The sequence below is a fragment of the Homo sapiens genome, chromosome 7 (assembly GCF_000001405.40).
Source record: "Homo sapiens chromosome 7, GRCh38.p14 Primary Assembly".
NCBI lineage: Eukaryota > Metazoa > Chordata > Mammalia > Primates > Hominidae > Homo > Homo sapiens.
In genome coordinates, this window is record NC_000007.14 from 117,731,748 (window position 1) to 117,748,030 (window position 16,283).

General features: G+C 40.9%; 1 protein-coding gene across 10 annotated transcripts in view, besides 2 other annotated features; it reads right to left on the reverse strand.

Annotated features, from left to right (window-relative positions):
* The window catches only part of CTTNBP2 (cortactin binding protein 2), a 162,791-nt gene that overhangs the window by 21,097 nt on the left and 125,411 nt on the right, over positions 1 to 16,283 (reverse strand). For 9 of the 10 annotated variants that reach the window (NM_001363351.1, NM_033427.3, XM_024446964.2 and 6 more), the window contains exons 13-16: positions 14,266 to 14,352; positions 14,084 to 14,183; positions 3,522 to 3,674; positions 3,166 to 3,353 (exon numbers count right to left, since the gene is read on the reverse strand). In NM_001363351.1, coding sequence (NP_001350280.1) covers positions 3,166 to 3,353; positions 3,522 to 3,674; positions 14,084 to 14,183; positions 14,266 to 14,352 — 528 coding nt within the window. Of the gene's footprint in view, positions 1 to 3,165; positions 3,354 to 3,521; positions 3,675 to 14,083; positions 14,184 to 14,265; positions 14,353 to 16,283 lie in introns of those variants that run through there. The other variant, XM_017012707.2, reaches the window with a different exon arrangement.
* Positions 790 to 1,007: a silencer, noted in NCBI's record as "fragment chr7:117372591-117372808 (GRCh37/hg19 assembly coordinates)". NCBI's record gives its function as "represses an EF-1alpha promoter that drives an FKBP-Casp9 reporter gene in an ReSE screen in K562 erythroleukemia cells {active_cell/tissue: K562}" and the evidence as "EXISTENCE:reporter gene assay evidence [ECO:0000049][PMID:32094911]".
* Positions 1,126 to 1,843: an enhancer blocking element, noted in NCBI's record as "nonconserved region 12 (NR12) negative regulatory element (NRE) in the greater CFTR locus". NCBI's record gives its function as "strongly blocks activation of a gamma-globin promoter by the HS2 beta-globin enhancer when located between the enhancer and promoter in the forward orientation in transfected K562 cells {active_cell/tissue: K562}" and the evidence as "EXISTENCE:reporter gene assay evidence [ECO:0000049][PMID:18436892]".

Consider the following 16,283-nt stretch of genomic DNA (forward strand, 5'->3'; position numbering starts at 1 on the left):
GCGGGGGAAGCCCGGAGTTAGGTTTGGGGACAGGACATGTTGAGTTTGTTACGTGTGCAGTGTCAGATGGACTGCATTATATAGATCTGTAGCTGATTACATGAACTTAACACAAAATAGAGGGGCACGCAGACAAAGGAGAAAGCTGGATCAATTTTTAAACATGAATTCTGGAAGAAAACATTACTTACATATATGTGTATATAGTCCCTCACCAGGTCTTACAGAACATAAGTGTTCAAAAAAGTTTTTTTAACTTAATAAGAATGACATTAAATATTTCATATTCTGGGTAAGTGACGAGATGCTGTATCTGGATTTGTAGTATGTTCACCTGGTATTAATGGTAATGAAAAACAATTTTATTTTCCTAAAAGTAAGGTCTCAGATAAAATGCTAACGTCACCAAAATGTACAGAGCTCTTTCAGCATACATTTTTCCAAAATTTAAAATGTGCACATTTTAAATAACACCATATAACACACATGACCTAAAGGGAGTAATTCTTTTTAGAATTATATTTTATTTATAAAAATCAAATCTTTTATGGAGGGTTCACACAAAAATAAATATTTATTTACTTTTAGGAGAAATATCCCTTGATTAGAAGTCAGGCACAGGGCTGGGCATGGTGGCTCACGCCTTTAATCCCAGCACTTTGGGAGGCCGAGGTGGGTGGATCATGAGGTCAGGAGATCGAGACCATCCTGGCTAACATGGTGAAACCCCGTCTCTACTGAAAATACAAAAAATTAGCTGGGCGTGGTGGCGGGCGCCTGTAGTTCCAGCTACTCAGGAGGCTGAGGCAGGAGAATGGTGTGAACCCAGGAGGCGGAGCTTGCAGTGAGCCGAGATCACGCCACTGCACTCCAGCCTGGGCGACAGAGCAAGACTCCGTCTCAAAAAAAAAAAAAAAAAAAAAAAGTCAGGCACAGAAACTAACTTTGTATTTTACAAGAAAGAAGATTCACATAAATCTTTGCTGTACCAAGTAATTATGATATTAAGACAGGGGACAATTGTGAACACTGGTATGTCCTACATGAAGGAAATAATTTGGCCAAGGAAAAACAAAAAAATGATTCTGTGATACCAGCAGCTCTATTAAATTGATATCACTGTACTATCTGAGGCTTTGGGATCTGTTACAATTTTCCTTCTCTTCAAAAGAGGAATGATCATTATATAACTCTTTTATATTTTTTAAGCTACAATTCTGAGATTATGTATTACATAATTAATGATAGTTTAGTATTTCCTACTAAAAAGGGTATAATTGTTTTTTATTAAATACTAGTAGAAAGCCTAGTATTGTCCTGAAAGGTCGATTTTCTTGTATCTCTCCAAGGAACTAGAAGAAGAAATTGTGATCAATTGCCAGTGTGCTTTAAGTGCCCACAAAGATTAGGTTCTGTGACATTACAAGATTTCTGATGTTTTGCAGGACTCATCCATTCCCTTGTACACACACCCCAGGGGCTGTTTTATTAACCTACTTGAAGTGCTTATTGGTATAGGAAAGGCATTTCCTTTTTTCCAGTTTCTATTATTTGCAGCACATCCCACTCTCAAACGCAATGGAAAAGAGAGTGAACCTGAAGCTTGGAACTTTCCTTTCAAAGTAAGTTAAAACAATTTTTATCAGAGAGCTAGCGGGAGAGGGGTATACTTTACCTGAAATAGTGCCAATCCTACATAATAAAACTGGTATCTTTTCTGATTATTTACATGAATTATCTTTGGCAATGAGATTTAAATATTGACAGTGATAGTTAATGCAAGTATCGGTAATTTGAAAAGCTACAGACCTATGACTGTCTTTACCTCACCATTCGTCCTTCTTGTTGAGATCATACAGTGGCTAGGCTTTGGCCAAAAGCATAATATTTATGACCAAGTAACTGATTTAAATATAACATGGGGTAGATTTCCCTCATTAAATTAGGAATTTCAGATATTAATTCTAATTACCAGTGGCAGACACTGTTCAATGAATTCCCAAAAGCCATTCTCACCCCACACTTCTCCCCGCCACCATCTCCCCTGCCCCAGCACAAATGCGTACACATACTCTAACACAATAGACACAGAAATTTGTTCAAGCACTTGGTGGAGAGCTTCAATCTTGGAAAAGCAGGTTTGGCCATGGTCTGGGATGAAACCAGTTTTAGTTAATGAAACATTAAAGAGAAGTCTTATGTTTCTGGAAAAGTGCTTTCCTCCCTGATAAGGAAGAGACTGAGGAAGCCGAAGCTCTCTATCCTTCGCTGCAGCCCGCTTTCTGCCCTTGAACATGTTTTCACAAGGGCACAGTGTCTGCAGCCTTGTGGGCACACTGCAGTCTTGACGGGAGGGTCAACAGACTCCCCTGGACCTGGGACCTGAGACGTTGGACACCTACCACAAGATATCTGGTTATGTGAGGGGGAAAATCCTCTTTCTGTGAAGCAGCTAGCAGTTGGGGTGTTATTAGCAGCTTAAAATCCTGCAATAATGCAATGACAATACTGTCCTCCAAATGTGGCCCATTGTGCAGGATTAAATGAGAAAATCTTACTAAATCAAACTCTATTATTTCTAATCTACCTTGACACTCAGCTACTGGCCCAATTTAAAAATATTAAATAATGATGTATTCGATTTGGTCAGCTTTCAATTATTTTTGTCATTTGGGAGAATATAGAATACTTATTTTGTTATTCTGTGAAAGTCACTAAAAGTTATTATTACTCTTGAAAATGTGTCAAAAGGTATAGAATTCTACTTTTTCATGTGGCTTAATATCTACCATAGCATAGTATAACAGGCCTGTTGTAAAATGTGCTCACAAGGGTGTATGTTTTGAAGGCTCCAAGAAAGATGTAAGTTTTCCTTAAGAAGAGTGATTAATTTTCTAACCAAGCCTTCTACAGCATTTAGAACTTGGTGAGATTCCTTGAGAACAGCTGATAGCCACGGTAAAACTAATTTGCTTTTTCTTGTAGTTAATGTAGTGCAGAAATTGTTATGGGTTTCACATTCATTATGTTTTTTGGCCCTTGAATGTCAAAAAGCTGTACCTGCCCAAGGCTGCATAGTTAGTGAGTGGTGGAACTCAAGCTGAGATCTCCTGACAACAAAAACCCCTGCTCTCCTGGCAACAGGCTGCACTTGCTGTTTGTTACCTTATTCACAACTTTCCTTCGTAAGAACCTCTGCAGCAGTCCTTGCATGGGCTCGCCATCCCACCGCAGCTGCACCCAGCGGAAATGCTGCTGCACCAGCAAGTCGGAGCCCTGGAGACAGGCCTTGGCGATGGTTCCCATCAGAAAGCAGTTCTCATGAAAGTAATAACATTCGGACAGTCCATTTCCTGAAACAAACCAAAAAGCAATGGCCCATCCTCAGTGAGTTATGTTATGGGACAGATTCAAATTAAAATAACGTAAAGAACATGAAGTATAACTGGTACTCTGGGAAACAGAAAGATTAGAATATTACAGAAGCTTGCTTCTCAGCATGGTCCCTTTATTAGCGTTACCTTTTTGGAAAGTGCAGGGGCTTTCAGTGCTGCGATTTTCAAGAGGTGCCAAAAAGTCCCTCAATAACTCCGACAGTGAAGATTTTTCTAAATTTTCTAAAATGATGATGATTTTCTTCTTACTGGGAGATTGTTTCACTGGGATCAGACAAGCTATAATAAAAAAGGAAATTCAGTGATTCAAGCTTTTGACAAAAATTTATACAAATTGGCAAAACTAAAAAAGTCTGAAGTTATAAAGCATTAGCAAAGATGTGGTATAATGGGAATGTTCTTAAATTGCTTGGGGAGTGAACAACTCTGGAAAACTGTTCGGTATTATTTGATAAGTTTGAACACACTCAAAATGATCCAACATTCCTTGTTCTATAACAAGTCTCAAATGGAATCAACCCAATGTCCATCAACAATAGAATAAATGAATAAATAAGAGTATGTTCATACAACAAATAGAAAGCGAACAAATGACAACTTTTACAACATGGAAGACTCACAAACAATATATTAAGAAGCAAATCATAAAAGATTATATACAATGTGATTTCATCATGTAAAGTTCAAAACAGGCAACACTAAATCTATAATTTAGGGATTCATACACAGGGAGTAAAACTATAAAGAAAAGCTAAGAAATGATTATCATGAAAGAGTAGTGGTTACTTCCAAAGGGAAGGGTTTGCGATAAGGGGGACGGACCACACAGTCACATTCTGAGAGCTGAGAATATTTTATTTCTTGGCCTAGTCAGTGGTTACATGGTTATTTTATTTTAAATTATTAATTAATCTGTAAACATAAGTAGTATATATTTTAGTATATCTATTTCATAATACAAAAGGTTAAAAGCCCTTAAATGACCTTTAAATTATGCATATGTAAAATGTTCATAAGATTATGTAGACAGGGCCAGGCGCAGTGGCTCATGCTGGTAATCCCAGCACTTTGGGAGGCCAGGGTGGGCAGATCACTTGAGCCCAGGAGTTCGAGGCCAGCCTGGGCAACATGGTGAAACCCTGCCTGTACAAAAAATACAAAAAATTAGACAGATAGGGTGGCAGGCACCTGTATTCTCAGCTACTTGGGAGGCTGAGGTGAGAGGATCACCTGAGCCCAGTGAGCTGTGACTGTGCCACTGCATTGCTGCCTGGGCAACAGAGCAAGACTGTGTCTAGAAAAAAAAAAAATGTAGACAGGACCTCAGAGAGATAAGTAAATCGCTCTTTCCATTTTCCAGATCTCAGAGAGGCTGAAGTAATTTGTGGTCTCAGAAACAATGGTAAGGGAGGAGTAAAATCCAGCACTTCCGACTCATATTTTCCCATTCGTTTCACTCAGGATGGGAAGGACTGACTTTCTGTCAACCCAAAATGAAAGCTGGAAAAGTAAATGAAAAATTAATATTATATATAGGAAATGAATAAGGGCACAAAACATACTTAAAACAGTACCTGGCATCTACTAAGCAGAAACTATTAATAGTTTAGTTAAAATGTATTCTATATGGCACTTCCCATATACTAATCAATTACAAAATAAAATCACTTTAGTTTCTTGAAGATTCTAAGATGCCACAGTTTTAGTCAAATTAACCTTGAAAAGAAACCAGTTTAGGATACTTGAGAGTAACATTACCAAATAGTCTACTTTTTACAAATATTCATGATAGTATATTCTCAATTCCTTCTTGTTACTATAGACACAATGCATTTTCATTTTCAAAAGAACTCCTTGAACACTGTAAATGAATCTCTTCTCAGACAGAAATGGCTCTTCTGGATGCTATGAAAATTTAAAATCTAGAAGGCTAGAAACAATCACAGCCACCTCTCAATCTAGTTGTACTTGTGGAGGGCTGCTAACACTAGCATCTAGTGTGTGTCAGATCCCTTTCAACACAGCTGTTTGGTAAAGAATGCTAAAATTCTATGTTTCTTTGGGTTCAAATGTTATTTCAGAAATAGATGTATTGTGGAAGTATGAGAAATCCGTAGTTGGTGAAAACAACAATGGAAAACTAACAAACATTTTTAATTCAGCGATTAAAAAAACACACAGGATTGATGGTTTATGTATCTGGTTTTCTGTAACTGAGGACTGAAGGTCTCCAGCTTTTCCCTGATTTGTGTTAAGTGCATCGCCAGTTTAAGTGGCTCTGAAGCTGCTGCAGCCAGCCAGAATGCATCTGAAGGAAGGAATATTTCCTTGCATTTCAACAAATGTTTATCCAATGCCTCTTTGCTACAGGTACTGGATGCTGAGTGCTATGGCATGCCAGAAGTGACTCATTCTAACTGGGGGTGTGTAGCATTTTATTTATTTTTTGGAGATGGAGTCTTGCTCTGTTGCCCAGGCTGGAGTGCAGTGGCGTGATCTCGGCTCACTGCAACCTCCACCTCCCGGGTTCAAGTGATTTTCCCGCCTCAGCCTCCTGAGTAGCTGGGATTACAGGTGCACACCACCATGCCAAATACAAAATTTTTTTTTGTATTTTTAATAGAGATGGGAGTAACCATGTTGGTCAGGCTGGTCTCAAAGTCCTGACTTCGTGATCCACCCACCTCACCCTCCCAAAGTGCTGGGATTACAGGTGTGAGCCACTGCACCTGGCCAGCATTTTAAACTAAGTTTAAGAAATGGCACTGGCCGAAGAATGGAGCTGGGCAGGATTCAATTCTAGAAGGGAATACGGCGTCAGATCAAGGTCAGAATAGTTATAAAAGCGTCATCATGGTGAGCTAAAAGCTGATCCATATAGCAAGTCGGGCCAGGGCTGGGAACTTGGGGTGGTGCCACAGGAGTGGCAGGGCGCCCAGCAGTCACAGCTGCGGAAGGCAGGCTGCATCTTCATCCTGAGCTGCAGGAATCGCTGGACCCATCCCCAGTGATTCTCAGCGCTTCTGATTTAATTGCACTGTGCTGGGCCTGGGGCACTGGCATTTTGTAAAAGCTCCCTAGTGATTGGAATGTGCAATCAGGGGCGAGATTTGCTGATATGAAGCCTCAGGACCAAGCCAAAAATGAAAAGTAGAAGACTCAGAATGTCTTGTTGGGAGGGAGCTACTGGTTCTGGGAATCAGTGGAAGTCTTTAAATAGGGGGATAAACAGGATTTGACTCCTGCTCTGAGATCTTCATGGTGCAGAGAATTGGCTGAGGAGGAAAGAAATAGGAGAACACACCTCCTAGACTCTTACTGCTATGGTTAAGGAAAGAGATGATGGGAGCCTCACCCAGGACCAACGCACAGAATGAAAAGGCATTTTGAGACCGAATCAGTAAATCTCAGTGGCTGACTTATTGAAAGAGGGGCAGAGAGGAAATACTGGAGACAACTCTAGGTTTCCACCAGAGAAGAGGCTGAGCAGTTAATGGAGGCAGAGAGCAGATGTGACCAAGCATGTACTTGGGGAGGAGGTGGTGGTGATGGGTTATGTTTCAGGCTTGATGTGTTTGATGAGTGAAGCATTGCTTCTCTGATGTGCAGCAGGTGGTGGGGCATGAGGGTGAGGGCATTGAGGAAGGATCCAGGCTGGAGATAAAATAAATGAGTTTTCAGGCATGCTGGGGTCTCTTGGAAAGAGGCAATATGCTCATTCTCCTGGGTCCTCAAGCAAATACTATATTGCTAGTGACCTAATACATCTCACATTCAATGGACAGTTTGTGCCCTAGACAAAAAGGGGGAAGGGCTGCTATACATAACCATTGGGTTATCTTTCCACTTCATCTTTATCTTGGTCTCCCATGAAGTAGCAATCAAGGGTCAAACAGCACAGCTTTCTTTGGGGGAAAGCTTTGTCTTCATTCGCTTGCCTCATTGCCTCAGTTTTTCATTAGTACCTACTTTTCCATCTGACCACTTAAGTTCCACATCCTTAGTCAAGGTGGGGCAAAGGTTAATTTTATTTTAGTTGAGAAATAGTACGTGTCTAGTTCAGGTTATTCTGCGTAGTTTCAGGTCTAAAATATTAACCAGCCACAGAAGCAGGAACTCATTACAGTTTCAAGGATCAACCAGTCTCTGATCAGGGCTTATGGAGAGGTGAAAGAAGGCCACACACCCCATGTTACAGCTGCAGGTTCCTTTTTACCTTCGGCCAAAAAGTCAGCCATTTGAATTCCCTTTGCTCTGTGCCACTTCAAAACGCTATTTCTAAAACCAGTCTGCTCTTTTTGACCTTTTTCTTCCAACTTTATAGGCTCTCTCAGCCCTGCTCCTCTCCTGCAGGTTGGTAATTTTAACTGGACACTGTCTTTGTGAGGCTCAGGGCTACATCCCAGTTTTGCACATCCTTATATTAAAAGTCCCAGAGAGTGAATTCTGCAGCCAAACTTATCAGTTTAAAAATAATTAGCATATCGCATTTCTAGCTAAACCCAAACTGCTTTGTGTCGTAGGTGAGTGACTCCAAGTCTATTATCTCCCCTTTCAGGACAGAAAACAACCCCTCTTTTCCATGTGCCCTTAAACCCCGGCTCTGGAGGAACGATGTTCTGAGAGGCCAAGTGGGAAGCACAGGGCAAGCCTTTAAAGAGTCCCAGGAATGCAGGGCCCAAGGAGGTAAACTCATTTCTGGAGACTCCAATTGTCATAGTCTCCTATTGTAACAGCAACCCTATCCTCATTACTTTTACAAAGGAAAGTTCCCTTGAAAAATTCAAAGTATTACTTTAAAATACCCATCTAGTGTTTAATTTTTTTTTCTGTTTTACTGTTTACAGTCACTGTAATTTTAAAAAGTATCATCTTGCTAACCCAAGTCCATACTTTATACTGAGGAGAAATTTGACCTAATTCTAATATGCATTCACAGCCTCCTTACCAAATAACAGAGTCATATGACATGACCCTCTCTCAAGAAAGGGAATATGAGAAGAAAATGTTATTTTAAAATAAACACAAAGTAATTTATGCTAGAATAAGTGCTGTGTCATTTTCTTTGAAATGGTCTTTTGTTCTCTATTCTTTTCTTCATTGGCACCATTTTAATCTCCATTTAAGTTTTAGATTCTTAAACCTAATTATTTAAAATACTTTTGCTACTCTTCATTTCTGTCTTTTTGCTCACACCCTCTTTAACTCTTTTCTGTGCCTGTTCCCTGGCTTTCTTCTACGGCGTCATAGAGAGGAACACATAAGGCAATGTGTGCTGTGCTCAGTGGAAGACAGAAGTTCAGCATTCTCACCCCATTCAACCCACATAGTTTAAGGCTCTCTCTTTAGAGAAAATAAGGTTAACCATCAGGAGTACGTGTAGAATACCTCAGGAATCAGTGTACTCTTCAGTTGTGGTACTTACTATTTGATCACTTTAATTTCTTGGTAAAAAAAGAGAGTAGCTGGTAGATAATCCCTATATGCTCATTATTCTAAACGTTTGAGTGGAATAGCCTAGAAAACCCCTTTCCTCCATCCAGATCTCTGACTTCTCTACCCTGTGGCCTCATCCATCGCCTCTTGACTGAAGGATCATTCCCTGCTGCATGCTTTCTGCACAGTGAAAGAACTGACACCACACCTGTCGATGGATCCTTCCCTGTGGCTCATAGGAGTTCCCCTGCACTGCTCTGAAGTCTCTGGTGTCCTTGTTGATTCTAATTCTCCTCTATGTCTTCATCAGCCTCCAGCCCACAGCATGGGTCCTACTGAGAAGACGGCAGTGGAGGTAGAGTGGGTTTTAGGAGATGAGGGTGAACTGCAGCAGGACAAGGATGAGAGGCCAGTCCACAATGTTCCTGATGTAGATTCTGAGAGCTTTAGCTTTCATTCTGGAGCCTTGGGAGTATAACAGCAGGGAACTGTCTGAATGGTTTTTTATCCTCCAGTGAGCCCCCAGATGCCTTGTGGAGGGCCCATGGAGGGAGTGAGACCAGAGGAAATATGAAAGGTTAATGATGAGGCCTCTACAATGCCTTGAACAAGAAATAATAGGTGATGGGGGAATGGAGAGCAGGAGGAGGAGATAGAGGAAGCAGATTCCACAGAGCTTAGGGACTGCCTAGATATGGGGAGTGAGGCAGACAGGAAGTGATTATGCTCACCTTGCTAACTTGGGCAACTGCAGTCAAGGCCTTAGCAGATGAACCTTGTATTTGTATCATAGTTTTCTTATTAAAAAGTGAAGAAAGATATTGATACTTACAAGTTACTAAGCTACATACAGAATAAAAATCCTTCTGTATGAATTTTCTTTTCTGCTTTACTGCTTACAATCATTTGCAATTTTAAAAAGTATCTGTCTTACTAACCCAATTCCATACCTTACACTAAGGAATATTTGACCCAATTATAGTATGCATTCGCAGCCTCCTTACCAAACCACAGTCATGTGATATGAAGGGTATAGAAGGATTTTTATTCTGTATTTGGAGACGACATACCATTTCCTACTCTTCCTTCTTTAACCTAGAGTGGAGTATTTTGTCCTTAGTCTATTGTTCAAACACTTCATTTTTTAAAATCCAAATTATTCTTTGTGCCTAGACATCAATGACTCCCTTATCAATACCTGTCTTTCTAATCTTACTTCTTTCTACCTCGACTCTAAGCAAGTTCTACTTGCTGCCACCTGAATTAAACTAATAATTCTCTTTTTCTTTGCCTATGCTATTTCTTACATCAGAAAATTCACCAATTTATTCAAAAAATAATTATTGACAATTTATATGCAAGCTAAGAGAAGAATAAGTTAAAGTGCTAGCCTTCAAGGAGCTCATCATATAACATGTGTGTGGGACAAGGCAAAACCCCAAATAATACCCTCGTTGCCTTGACATACAGTTGGGTAGAGCCCAGAAGTATAAATAAAATCCACTGCTGTTTACCAGAAGCAGTGAATCACAGAAGCGTCATTTGAGGTGTCCTTAAAGTATTTCGACAGAGGCTTTTTCTATAGTTTCCAGAAGGGCAGAGACTGTGTCTATTTTAATCACTAGTCTATAACAGACTACTCTGCATCACACCGGCCATGTGGTAGCCATGGTGTCTGTGGGATGAGAGGCATTTACATGTTTACTCCTTAATTCTAGTGGAAACTACAGCATGAGCAAAGACATGCAGAGTGGAAAAGCAAAGGATACATAAGGAAGAAACATCCTATTCTGCTGGAGCATGGGTATCTATGTTAAAAGGGTCAGATCAGCAGATTGGGTGGATGAATGCCCTAGAATAGAAGGCCTTGAACAGCATCGACCTAGTTCACTGGGCAATGGAGAGATGCGGGATGGGGAGGGGCAGAAATCACAGGGATTTTAATCAGAGGTCTGCTGGCCTGTGAAGAATGCTCAGGGAGAAGAAACAAGAGACAGAGAAACCGTCTATGTAAAAGTGAGGAGTTCCAGGAAAGGGAGGCATAAAGTAAGATGGTGCTGATGGAAATGGATTTTAAAAAGCAGATTGAGACTGACTGGCAGGATGTGACGATGGACTGTGGGACGAGGGTGAGGGGCCCACAAATGAGAGCACCTGGGGTTCCATGTGGTTCTCATATTGCTTTTAAAAATTAGAATAGTTAGCAATATTGAAAGAACAAAATCCCAAAGTTTTTACATAAAAACCTGGATTTCTGGCTTCTTCCTGAAAGTCACAAGACCTGACGACACTGGACCTACAATTCTGTCAGCAACAAACAGCTGGTTCTGAAAGCTGCTGCCCCTCCTGGAGATGGGGGCATGCCCCATTCTCCCTGCAGCCCTGCCCAGCCTGCTTCACCTCTTCCTGTGGCTTGTTGTTACTTGGGGGCATTGAGGTTTTCAAGCCTGCCAATGAGATCTGAGTTTCCAGTGTGGGAGTCAAGAGACATGGGCCACTCTCCAAACTGGGAAATTAGGAAGAGCAGCTCTTTTTAAGAAGATGCCCACCATAGATCTAGAAATGCTGAGTTGGTCACCTTTGCATCCTTCGTGACCTTGTTCATTGCACTCCAGTTTTCTTAGCTCTCTAAGCTTAGAGCAGAATTCAGTCTATAATTGCTATCTACCCCCATAGGGTAAGCACAAAATACTTTAGCTTCTTATTTTGAGAAGAAGCAAGATTTTAAGTTGAAAAAATGCGGGAGACTTTTGTTAGATAACAGGGGAAAAATGATGTTTTGGCACTAGGGCGTTTTTAAAGCCAGTAGTGATTAAGGTCAGGCTTAGGAGCTGGACTGCTGGGGTTTGAGTTCCGTTTTATGTTCTTGCTGTGGGATCTTTGAGTAGGACACTTAACCCTTTATTTCAAGTGTTTTCATGTTTATAAATCAGGGATGGGACTGTATCTGCCTCAGAAAGTTGTGAGTTAATAAATGCAGTGTTTAGAATAGGGCCTACATGGTGAAACCCCGTCTCTACTAAAAATACAAAAATTAGCTGGGTGTGGTGGCGAGCGCCTGTAGCCCCAGCTACTCGGGAGGCTGAGGCAGGAGAACCACTTGAACCAGCGAGGCAGAGGTTGCAGTGAGCCGAGATCGTGCCACCACACTCCAGCCCTGGTGACAGAGTGAGACTCTGTCTCAAAAAAAAAAAAAAAAAAAAAAAAAAAAAAGAATAGGGCCACCAGTGTAAGAGCTTACAAAATGTTAGCTACAATTAGTAACATTATCAGAAAAAACAGCTTTCTGTAGCTAACTTTCACTAATTTCTAGCCCAAGACTGGCCTGTGTAGTACAGTGATATTCAGATTCTACTGGAATTTTCCTGCCCCTAAAATGTGCTTCTAGGTTTGTGGTATCCTCAGTGCTTCCCTAAACCTGCCTCTTAATTTCATTTCTTTTTTAAAAAAAAATTGTGGCTACATAGTAGGTGTATGTATTTGTGTGTCTATGAGGTGTTTTGATACAGGCTTGTGATGTGAAATAATCACATCATAAAGAATGGGGTATATTTATCCCCTCAAGCATTTATCCTTTGTGTTACAAACAATCCAATTACCTCCTTCTAGTTATTTTACAATGTACAATTAAGTTATTACTGACTATAGGTACAATTATTACTGACTATAGTCACTATCAAACAGTAGGTCTCATTCATTCTTTCTATTTTTTCAGAACCCATTAACCACCCCCACCTACTCCCCAACACCCAACACTACCCTTCTCTGCCTCTGGTAACCATCCTTCTACTCTCTATCTCCATGAATTCAATTGCTTTGATTTTTAGATCCCTCAAACAATTAAGAACCTGTGATGTTTGTCTTTCTGTGCCTGGCTTATTTCATGCAACATAATGATCTCTAGTTCCATCCGTGTTGTTGCAAATGACAGGATCTCATTCTTTTTTTTATGGTCGAATAGCGCTCCATCGTGTATATGTACCATATTTTCTTTATCTATTCATCTGTTGACTTAGAAAGTGCTGGCTAGGCACGGTGGCTCACGCTTGTAATCCCAGCACTTTGGGAGACCCAAGGCAGGCAGATTGTTTGAGCTCAGGAGTTCAAGACCAGCCTGAGCAACATGGCAAACTCTTTGTCTACAAAAAATACACACACACACACACAAATTAGCTGGAAGTGCTGGGGCGTGCCTGTAGTCCTACCTACTCAGGAGGCTGAGGTGGAAGGTTAGCTTGTGCCCCAGAAATCGAGGCTGCAGTGAGCTGAGATCATGCCACTGTTCTATCTTCCTAAGCCTGGTCTACATTTGCCCTGGCCACAAGATATAGAAGCACCCCTCCCCAACAAAGAGATTTTGAATTTGCATTTCAACCTATCCTTCTCCAATCTTACAACTGCTTCCTTCGCCCCTTCCCCAGGGGTCTCTGTGGCTTTCAGCCCTAGGAGACTAAAGTCTGGTCCATTTCAGTTTTGTGTCAGAGTCACTAGTTATGCTATTCTACAGTATGCAATGCAGGGTTATGCTAATTCCACCTGTGATGAAACGTGGGGTATTAGACCCTGGAATCTAAGATCGAAAACTCATTAATAACATTACATTAATAAACATATTTAATCCCGGTGCTGCTACTACCATAGCTGTGGCAAATTACTGGACCTCTCTGTGACCCTTTCCCCACCTTTGAAAGTAGAAATAATGATACCTACACTTGCATAGGGCTGTTGTGGAGACTGAATGAGTTAATTAGTGCATGTGATGTATTTCACTAAGTGCCAGTCAATGGCATAGCAAGAGTGAGGTAGAGAAAGTGGTTGGCCCCAGGTGCAGCACTAAGGGATGTATTGGTTGTAGAGAATTTATGAGTAATAAAATTTACTAAAAAGTTGATCTGCTGTGTATCACCACCATGCTCCAGCAGTTCTAAACAGCATCAAAGATGCAATACCTAGTCCAGCTAGGGTGAACTGCTCCTACCACCTCCTCCCTTGGTATACCACTAGTGCCAGTAAGACAGTATGCTAGCAACAATTAATGATTAATAACAAAAAGAAGAAAAAAATGCAGGATGCTCAACAAATGCAATAATATACACATGAAGATAATTTTTGCAAGTGTTTATCCCACAGCTGCTGAATAATTAAAGTTATCTTAAATGTATCCCCAAGCAACACAGTGTATTTTCTCTTAATGGCATAATTGAAGAGCATGCCTTTAGGTTATCACAGGCAATTTGCTGAAATGTTCTTACCGCTACTAATGAACAGGTCTAGTAGCTGTTCCTTGGAAAAACCAGCATCTACTTCAGCTCTCACTATTTCACAGGAGAATCCTGCAGCCATTTGTCTGTGCTGTGATAAGAAAATAGGGTGATTAGTTCTACGCACTTGCCAATTTTCAAAGAAAAGCAGCTGATATACAAGTAATCAATACCTTCAGGCAGAGTGCAAGCTGATGTACTATGTAGTCTTGCAAGCTTCCTTCTGGGCCGTGGAAAATGACATTATGATATTGCTCAACCTATTAACAAACCAAGTAGAGAGCTAGGGTGAAGATGCTAAATTGATGAGAGAAAAAAGTGGTACACAGGTGTGGAATTCTTTTTTGATTGTCCTCATACTTTCAAAAGATTAAAAACAATATTTTAGAGATTAGCTTTATCATTGGACACCTGTACTCTCATTTGAATGTGAAACATGGGCAAAGGGTACTTAGCAAGAGCTGATACTTTATAAAAAAACACATTTTTTCCCTCTATTTTCCATAGCGAGGGTCTGCAGGGTAGCTGAGACACACAGTTCCAAGTTCATTTTGTCCCTTCCAGAAATTCTGTAACTTTTTCTATATTATCCTTTGCAGATGCTCTTTATGTGGAATTTTGTCAATGCTTATTTAGCTTGTTCGTGGTTAAAACAGTAATGCATTTCATTATGGAAATTTTGGTATATATAAAGAAGAATAAAAAATTACTGAGTGTCAGCACCCACAGTCACCGTAAATATTTTTGTTTCCTTCCAGTTTTTTCTTTGCATAGTGGCTGCGTGTGTGTGTGTATGTTTAAAAGATGGGTACATGAGTGTCATCTTTTTACAGCTGTTGTATATCAGATAATGTCTTTGTGTTGACTTCTTAGGTAAAAGATGTTTTGATGAGTATAAAACTCAGATCAACTTTATATATTATTCCATTCTGGAATTCAGTGTTTTAAAGAAATCTAGGTAGAGATGGATTACTTTCGCTTTGTCAAAAAGAAAATCTCCTGCCTGTATGCTTATATATATTTTTTAAACTTTATCCTCGTGTATAAGGATACCTCGCCTGAGAACATGGAGTTTCAGCATGCACTTGGATGGAAAGGCAATTATCATCTACACAGGGCAAAGGCAGCGATGTCTTGAGAAAAATATGGAGAGGAAAGTTAGCCTCCCACTTCTGTCATCCCAGGGCTGACACCCCTGCACCCTGCCCAGCACACATGCTTGGGAGAAGCTTTCTTAATGGAAAGCTGGTCTTGCAGCAAGGTCTTGCCGGAAAGGACTTGGACAGGTGAGGGTCCAACCTAACTGATACAGTTGATATTGCTCAAGTGAAGATTGAGCCACCCAGACTTAGAGAAGTTTTGAGTTTGTTCTCTCTATAATCTAGAACAGGACAATGTAAGAATGTGTGTGTGTATCTCTGTGTTGTCTCTCTCTTGTACTCTGATGAGGTTGTCCCTTTGAGATCACAGGAAAAGGCCCATCCTTTATGGTAGCTGGGATGGACTTCTGTGAAGATAGTAAAAATGCCCCAGTCCATCATTACAAGGAGGCAGATTGTGGGATATAAAAGGAAGGCTTGAAGAAAAGCTCTTAGCATAAGAGATGAACTAAACTTTTTCCTTACCCTAGGCCTTTAAGACTTGAGCTTTGGGCCGCACGTGGTGGCTCACGCCTTTAATCCCAGCACTTTGGGAGGCCAAGGTGGGCGGATCACTTGAGGTCAGGCGTTCAAGACTAGACTGGCAAATACGGTGAAACCCCATCTCCACTAAAAATACAAAAATTAGCCAGGTGTGGTGGTGGGTGCCTGTAATACCAGTTACTTGGGAGGTTGAGGCAGGAGAATCGCTTGAACCCGGGAGGTGGAGGTTGCAGTGAGCCAAGATCATGCCACTGCACCCCATCCTGGGCAACAGAGCGAAACCCTGTCTCAAGGTTAAAAAGAAAAAAGACATGAGGTTTGGCCTCTAAGGAGACTAAGGAAGGTTGGTGAGCACTTCTGGGAAGTGGAGGAAAGCCAGGCATGACCACCAGGATTCAGACCATGAGCTAAGAGGGCAGTGGTCCTTTAAGGGGCTCCTTGATGTTGGGCTTGGGACTGGGTTTTAGGCTCTGAAAGATATCATGTCTGGTAGCCTCCCGTAATATTCTCTGAGTTGGAATACTGTTCAATTATTAGTACACCTTCAA